Source organism: Homo sapiens, chromosome X, assembly GCF_000001405.40.
Source record: "Homo sapiens chromosome X, GRCh38.p14 Primary Assembly".
Taxonomy (NCBI): domain Eukaryota; kingdom Metazoa; phylum Chordata; class Mammalia; order Primates; family Hominidae; genus Homo; species Homo sapiens.
This window is the reverse complement of record NC_000023.11, coordinates 87005827-87014445: the sequence shown is the minus strand read 5'-3', so window position 1 is coordinate 87014445 and position 8619 is coordinate 87005827. Positions and strand designations below refer to the sequence as shown.

Here is an 8619-nt window from a genome sequence, read left to right as displayed (position 1 = left end):
TTTTAATGAATTTGTTAGTTATTTGTAAGAGTTCTGTTGGGTCTTCAGGTTTTTCTAAAAATAAGATTATGTTGTCTCCAAACAAAAATGATTTGCTTCTTCCTTTTTAATTTGGATGCCCTTTATTACTTTATATTGCCTAATTACTCTGTCTAGGACTTTAGTACTATGTTGAATAGAAGCGAAGAAGGCAGCATTCCTGTCTTGTTCCAGATATTAATAGAAAGGCTTTTCATTGTTCTCCATTCAGTGTGATATTAGTTGTTCATTTTCATATATGGTTTTTGTAGTATTGAGGTATTTTCCCTATGTGCCCAACTTGTTCAGAGTTTTTATCAGGAAGGAATGTTGAATTTTATCAAATACTTTTTCAACATCTATTGAAATTGTTATATAATTTTTGTCCTTGATTTTGTTAATGTGATGTATCCAGTTTATTAATTTGCATATATTGGACAATCACTGAATCCCTGGGATAAATTCCACTCGATCATGAGGAATAATTTTTTTAATGAGCTGTTGCACTTGTTTTGCCAGTATTATTCTGAAGATTTTATATTTATGCTCATTAGGGATATTGACCTATACTTTTTTTTTTTTTTTGTCTTACCTTTCTCTGGTTTTTGTTTCAGAGTAATCCTGGCCTTGTTCAATGAATTTGGAAGTATTTCCTAATATTCAATTTTATAAAATAGTTTGAGTATGTGTGGGATTAGTTTTTCTTTACAAGTGTAATAGAATTCAGCAGTGAAACCCCTGTGTCCTGTGCTTCCTTTTTATGAAAAAATAATTATTACTGCTTCAGTCTCATTACTCATTGTTTGCTTAGGTTTTCTATTTTTTTCATGCTTCTATCTTAGTAGGTTGTCTGAGTCCAGAAATTTATCAGTTTCTTCCAGCTTTTTCATGTTATTGATATAAACTTGTTCCTAGTAGTCTCTAATAATCCTTTTATTTTCTGTGGTATGGAGGGGTGAAGCCAGCTGGACTTCCTGGGTCGAGTGGGGACTTGGAGAACTTTTCTGCCTAGCTAAAGGATTGTAAATGCACCAATCAGTGCTCTGTGTCTAGCTAAAGGATTGTAAATGCACCAATCAGTGCTCTGTGTCTAGCTAAAGGATTGTAAATGCACCAGTCAGCACTCTGTAAAAACGCACCAATCAGCACTCTGTGTTTAGCTAAAGGATTGTAAATGCACCAATCAGCACTCTGTAAAGTGTAGCTATCAGCACTCTGTAAAATGGGCCAATCAGTTCTCTGTAAAATGGACCAATCAGCAGGATGTGGGCAGAGCCAAATAAGGGAATAAAAGCTGGCCACCTGAGCCAGCAGCAGCAACCTGCTGGGGTCCCCTTCCACGCTCTGGAAACTTTGGTCTTTTGCTCTTCACAATAAATCTTGCTGCTGCTCACTCTTTGGGTCTGCACTACCTTGATGAGCTGTAACACTCACCGCAAGGGTCTGCCGCTTCGTTCCTGAAATCAGCGAGATCACAAACCCACCAGGAGGAACAAACAATTCTGGACACGCCACCTTTAAGAGCTGTAATACTCACTGTGAAGGTCTGCGGCTTCACTCCTGAAGTCAGCGAGACCACAAACCCACTGGAAGAAAGAAACTCTGGACACACCTGAACATCTGAAAAAACAAACTCCGGACACACCATCTTTAAGAACTGTAACACTCACCGTGAGGGTATGTGGCTTCATTCTTGAAGTCAGTGAGACCAAGAACCCACCAGAAAGAACCAATTCTGGACACAGTATCAGTTGTAATGTTTCCTTTTTAGTATCTGATTTTATTTATTTGTGTTTCTAACTATTTTTTCTTAGCCTAACTAAAGTTTTGTAAGATTTAACTTATCTAAAACAAACTCTTCATTTTGTTAACATTTTGCATTTTGATTTTATCTCAATTTCATTTATTTTTACTCTGATCTTTATTTTTTATTAATTTATATTTTGGTTTCCTCTTGCTTTGCAAGTTCTTAAGGTGAATCATTAGGTGGTTTATTACAAATCCTTTTATATTTATGATGTAGGTATTTATTGCTATGATCTGCCCTTTTAGAACTGCTTTTGCTGTATCACATAGGTTCTGTTATGTTGTGCTGCTGCTTTCATTTGTTCAAGTTTTTTTTTTAATTTTCATTCTAATTTCTTTATTTACCCATTGATCATTTGGGAGCACGCTATTCAATTTTTATGTATTTGTACAGTTTCTAAAATTCCTCTTATTATTGATTTCTAGTTTTATTCCTTCATACTGAGAAAAGTTATGTGGTATAATTTTGACTGTTTTTAAATTGCCAATAGATATTTTTGACCTTACACATTATCTATTCTGGAGAATGTTACATGTGGTGATGAGAATAATTTGAATTCTGCAGCAATTTAATAAAATGCTCTGTAAATATCTATTAGCACTATTTGTTTAAAAATTTAGTTTAACTCTGATGTTTCTTTGTTGATTTTCTGCCTTAATGATCTGTCCATTGCCAAAAATAGGCTGTTGAAGTTTCCAACTATTACTGTATTGCAGTCTGTCTATCCTTTTAGATCTATTCATCTTTGCTTTATATATTTGTCTGCTCCAGTGTTGGATACATATATATTTACAATTGTTTTATCTTCTTGTTTAATTATCCCTTTATTGTTGTATAATAAACTTTTTGTGGGGTTTTTTGATAGTTCTTGAATTAACATCTATTCTATCTAATATTAGTATTGCTTCTCCCGATCATTGTTGGTTTTTGTTTGCATGTAATATCTTTCTCCATTCCTTCACTTTCACTCTGTTTGTCTTTAATAGTGAGGTACATCTCTTGTAGGCAAAATATAGGTGGATTTTTTGATTCATTCAGCCATTCTATATCCTTTAATTGTAGAATTTAATTTATTCACATTTAATTTTATTATTGATAGGTAGGATCTTACTTCTGTCATTTGTTTTCTGGTTGTTTGGTAAATCTTTGTTCCCTTCTTAATCTCTTGTTTATCTGTGGTTTGTAGTTATCTAATGCTAAGTGTTTTTTTTTCCTTTCCTCTTTCTCATCTATGTATTTTTGTGGTTACAATGCTGGTAACATAGAGTCTCGTTATAAGACTATTTTAAGCTGATAACAACTTGACTTTGGTCACATAAAAATACTTTTAGCCTTTTCCCCTCACTCCCACAATTTGTATTCTGATTGCTTTAATTTATATCATTATTGTTTGTATGTTTCTTCATCACTAATTTTAGCTTTTAATGTTTTTGACTTTTTTAATTTGAATCTTCATACTATAGGATTGAAGTATTTACATAGCAACATTACATCACCGGGGTATCCTGATTATTGCATGGGTTTACCTATACTGGTAAATTTTGTACTTTCATGTACCTTTGCATCAATTATTTTTCTTTTATTTCCTACTGTAGTACTCTTTTAAGCGTTTCTTCTAAGTATACCCCAGTGGTGATGAATCTCCACAGTTCCACAGTTTTTGCTTGTCTGGGAAGGTCTTTATTTCTGCTTTATTTCTAAATGATAGCTTTGCTCAATGTACTATTCTTAGATGACATTTTTTTTTTTAGTTCTTTTAATATGTCGTCCCACTCTCTCCTGGCCTGTAAGGTTTTTGCTGAGATATCTGCTGATTGTCAAATAGAAACTATTTTATTGTGACTTGACATTTTGAGTTTTGTCAGTTTGATTATAATGTGCCTCACAGAAAATATTTATCATTTAAATTTCATCGGAAGCCTTTAAGTTTGCTGAATCTTTGTGTCCCTATGTCTCCCAAGACTTGGGAACTTTTCAGCTACTATTTTATTATATAAATTTTCTATGCCTTCTGCTATTTCTTCTTTCTCAGGCACCCCTATAATACAAATATTTGTCCACTTAATTGTGTCCCATAAGGCTTCTTGGCTTTTATATTCTTCCTTCTGCTGGATTTAGTCTGTTGTTGAACCTCTCAATTGTATTTTTCATTTTTTTGTCATTGAATTCTTTAGCTGCAAGTTTTTTGTTTGGTTCTTTTTATGAGCCATCTCTTTGTTGAATTTCTAATTTAGATTATGAATTGTTTTTCTAATTTCACTGTATTGTTTGTATTCTCTTATATCTTTCTGAGTTTTCTCAAGATTTTTATTTTGAATTATTTTTCAGGCATTTTACAAACATCCTTTTCTTTGGAATTTTTTACTAGGGACTTATATTGCTTCTTTGCATAAGTCACATTTACTTGCTTTTTAAATATTTCTTTTGTCCCTGTGTTGATATCTATTTATCCAGGAAAAAAGTGGTATTTTTTTTCCAATTTTATGGAGTAACTTTTGTAGCAAGAGGCTTTTTCCTGTAGAAGGGTCCTAGGGTGTTGGTTGGGAATGCTATATCAGTTTTAGTTCTGAGTAAACTCAGCAGCATGGTCTCCATACAAATTCTTTGGCTGTAATTCTTCCCTGAGATGGCTGCAATTTTCTCAATGTCCTAGACTACAGTAGTTTGTTGCTGTGGTTATGTAGTTTTGTTGTTAGTGGGGGCACTGGACTGATTGTCAGTCACGTGTGATTGTGGCATGCCAGTGGGTTGTGTATAGGTCTGTCCTGAATGGTAAGGTCACTGTTGAGCTGGCTGTTGGGCTGGGGGCATGTATACATGAATTGGGTAGCTGAGAAAGATTTCTATCTTGTTGGGTAGGACAACTTCCAGATCTTCTTTAAAGCTGGGGCTGGGAATGTTCAGGCACAGAGGCTGTGTGGGACACTGTGGTGGTCTGGGGTTGTCTCTGGTTGGATATAAAAACAGGAGTAGGTGCACACTGACTCAATGGATGAAAAAGGCCTTTCTGCTGTTCAGGTCTGCCTGTTTCTCTGGATGATCAGGTTCCTTGTGAGTTTGGGCATTGACATTCCAGTCATTCATTTGGGCCTGGGCTTTAGGCAGCTGGACTATTGGTGCTGTAATCACCTATGTAAATGTAGTGAAATGAAAGTGGTGCTTTACACAGAGTGGTTTGGTGGCTACTGCCCCCCTCTGCCCCCCCACAGGTAGAATGCACTCTAGATATGGGTCCAGTTTCAAGGGGATTCTGTGTCATAGTCACTTAGGTTGTAATGTGGGGGTGTTAAGAAGGTTCCTGCTTTTAAGGAGTGCAGCTGCATGGAGTCCCAGTAACTGTTCACACTGGACTTGGGGACTGTGAGGATTGAAGGACCTTCCTGTAGAAGTGACTACTGGCATCTGCGTCAGTGATAGAGAATGCTAAGGGTCTCCAGCTTACCTTTATTTCTATAAAAAAGAGGTCCTACAGCTCCAATATGATCCTGGTGGGGGAGAGAGTGTGGCAGAGGCAGGATGAGTTGCTCCCATCCCTATGAAGCTATCCTGAGATTTTGTGCTCCACAGGCATTTTGCTATTCTCCTGGTGCTCTCTGGCACAATTCTTCCGTCACTTCTGTCAAAATATACATTGTTTTACTTACTTTTTGTGGGGGTGGACTAGAAACAGAAAACACTAGTCAGCCATCTTTGCTGATATCATTCTCAACACAAATTATTTGAAAAACTAGTCATTTCCCTTTGAACTACCTTGCTAACTTTGTTATAAATTAATTCACGGTATATGGAAAAGGTCTACTTCTAGACTTTGTATGTTTATCAATTATCTCTTTGTCTCTACTTATGCTAATGCTACACTTTCTTTATTGTCATACTTTTATAATATGTCTTGAAACTATAGAGCTTGAGCTACTTTTCACATATTATTCAAATGGTCTTGGCTATTTAAGATAATTTGTTTTTTACATGTAAATTTTTTAGAACAATTTTGTCAATTTCTTCAAAAAATACCTCATAATGTTTTTATTGGAGTAGACTTAAATCTATAGATCAATTTAGGGAAGATGCACTTGCTAACATTATTGAGTCTTCTATTACATGAAGAGAGCATATTTCTCCATTTATTTAGTTTTCTTTTAATTTCTCTCATCAGTGTTTAACAGTTTCCATCACACAAATCTTGAACATGTATTGACAGATTTTTTCCTATGTATTCCATAGTATTTCAATACTATTGTGTATTGCAATTTAAAAAGTTTTCATTTCCAGTTATTCTTTTCTACTCTATAAAAATAGAATGTGAAGATCTTGTATTTTTGACCTTGCTGAACTTACTTATTGGCTCTAGTAGGAATCAAAGAATCTGTGAAAAGAAGGGAAACAGTCTTATATTTACCCATGTACTTATCATTTCAAGTAATCTTTATTCATACATGTAGATCTTAATTTCAAACAGTTATCTTTGTCTCTTATGCCAGAAGAAGTAGCTTAGAGATTTATTTTAATGTAGGTGTAGTGGGGGTACATTTTATCAAGATTTCTTTTTCTAAAAAATATCTATAAACTGTCTTCCTACTTGAAAGGCATTTTCCTTAGATATAGAATTCTAACTTGACACTTATTTTTTAGCATTTGAAATATGGCATTACATTGACTTTTGGCTTTCATTATTTCCACTAAAATTATTAAGAATTATTTATGTAAGAATTATTAAATGTCATATTAATTTATATTATTACTTCTTTTTATATACATGATCCCCACTGATATGGTTTGGCTGTGTACCCACCCAATTCTCACCTTGAATTTTATTGCTTCTTTCAATATAAATGATCCGCACTGGTATGTTTGGCTGTGTCCCCACCCAAATCTCACTTGAATTGTAATCTCCATAACCCCCATGTATTATGGGAGTGACCTGGTGGGAGATAATTGAATAATGAGGGCAGTTTCCCTCATGCTGTTCTCATGATAGTGAGTGAGTTCCCATGAGATCTGATGGTTTTATAAGGTGCTTTTTCTCCTTTGCTCAGCACTTCTCTTTTCTGCCTCCATGGGAAGAAGAATGTGTTCGGTTCCCCTTCTTCCATGATTGTAAGTTTCCTGAGGCCTCCCCAGCCATGTGGAGCTATGAGTCAATTAAATCTCTTCTCTTTATATTATCCAGTCTCAGGTATTTCTTCATAGCACTGTGAAAACATATTAATACAGTAAATTGGTACCACAGAGAATGGGGTGCTTCTACAAAGATACCCAAAATGTGGAAGCAACCTTAGAAATTGGTAATGGGCAGAGGTTGGAACAGTTCGGAGGGCTCAGAAGAAGACAGGAAAGTGTGAGAAAGTTTGGAAACTCCTAGAGAGGTCTTCAGGAGAAGACAGAAAGATGTGAGAAAGTTTGAAACTTCCTAGAGTCTTGTTGAAAGGCTTTGACCAAAATGCTGATAGTGATATGAACAATGAAGTCCAGACTGCAGTGGTCTCAGATGGAGATGAGGAATTTGTTGGGAACTGGAGTAAAGGTCACTCTTGCTATGCAAAGAGACTGGTGGCATTTTGCCCCTGCTCCAGAGATCTGTGGAACTTTGCACTTGAGAGAGATGATTTAGGATATCTGCTGGAAGAAATTTCTAAGTGGCAAAGCATTCAAGAGGAAGCAGAGCATCAAAGTTTGGAAAATTTGCAGCCTGACTATGCCAGAGAAAAGAAAAACTCATTTTCTGGGGAGAAATTCAAGCCTGCTGCAGAAATTTGCATAAGTAACCAGGAGACTAAAGTTAATCACCAAGACAATGGGGAAAATGTCTCCAGGGCATGTCAGAGACCTTCATGACTGCCCCTCCCATCACAGGCCCAGAGACCTAGAAAGGAAAACTGGTTTCCTGGGCTGGGTCAAAGGCTCCCCTGCTGTGTGCAGCCTAGGGACTTGGTGCCCTGCCTCCCAGCCATTTCAGCCATGGCTAAAAGTGGCCAAGATACATCTCAGGTCATTGCTTCAGAGGGTATAAACCCCAAGCCCTGGAAGCTTCTACTTCATGACAGGCCTTCAGGTGTGAAGAAGACAAGAATTAAGGTTTGGGAACCTCTGCCTGGATTTCAGAGGATGTATGGAAATGCCTGGATGTTCAGGCAAAAGTCTGCCTCAGAGGTGGGGCCTGCTTGGAGAACCTCTGCTAGGGCAGTGTGGAAGGGAAACATGGGGTTGGGACCCCCACTTAGAGTCCCTACTTGGGCACTGCCTAGTGGGGCTGTGAGAAGAGGGCCGCCATTCTCCAGATCCCAGAATGATTGATCCACCGACAGCTTGCACTGTGTGCCTGGAAAAGACACAGACACTCAACACCACCTGTAAAAGCAGCTGGGAGGGGACTGTACCCTGCAAAGCCACAAGGGCAGAGCTGCCCAAGGCTATGGAAGCCCACCTATGGCATCAGCATGACCTGGTTGTGAGACATGGAGTCAAGGAAGATCACTTTGGAACTTTAAGGTTTAATGATTACCCTATTGTACTTTGGACTTGCATGGGGCCAATAGCCCCTTTATTTTGGCCAATTTCTCCCATTTGGAACAGGTGTATTTACCCAATGCCTGTAACCCCATTGTATCTGGGAAGTAGCCAACTTGCTTTCAGTTTTACAGGCTCATAGGCAGAAGGGACTCACCTTGTCTCAGATAAAACTTTGGACATGAACTTTTGGGTTAATGCTGGAATGAGCAAAGATTGGGGAACTGTTGGAAGGGCAGGATTGTGCTTTGAATTGTGAGGACATGAGATTTGGGAGGGGTCAGCGGTGG

The 8619-nt window shown here is 37.2% G+C and overlaps 1 annotated feature.

The window, feature by feature from the left end:
- Positions 7392-8201: an enhancer, noted in NCBI's record as "NANOG-H3K27ac hESC enhancer chrX:86261248-86262057 (GRCh37/hg19 assembly coordinates)". NCBI's record gives its function as "activates a minimal SCP1, AML or CMV promoter by ChIP-STARR-seq in naive H9 embryonic stem cells {active_cell/tissue: H9 hESC(naive)}" and the evidence as "EXISTENCE:reporter gene assay evidence [ECO:0000049][PMID:30033119]".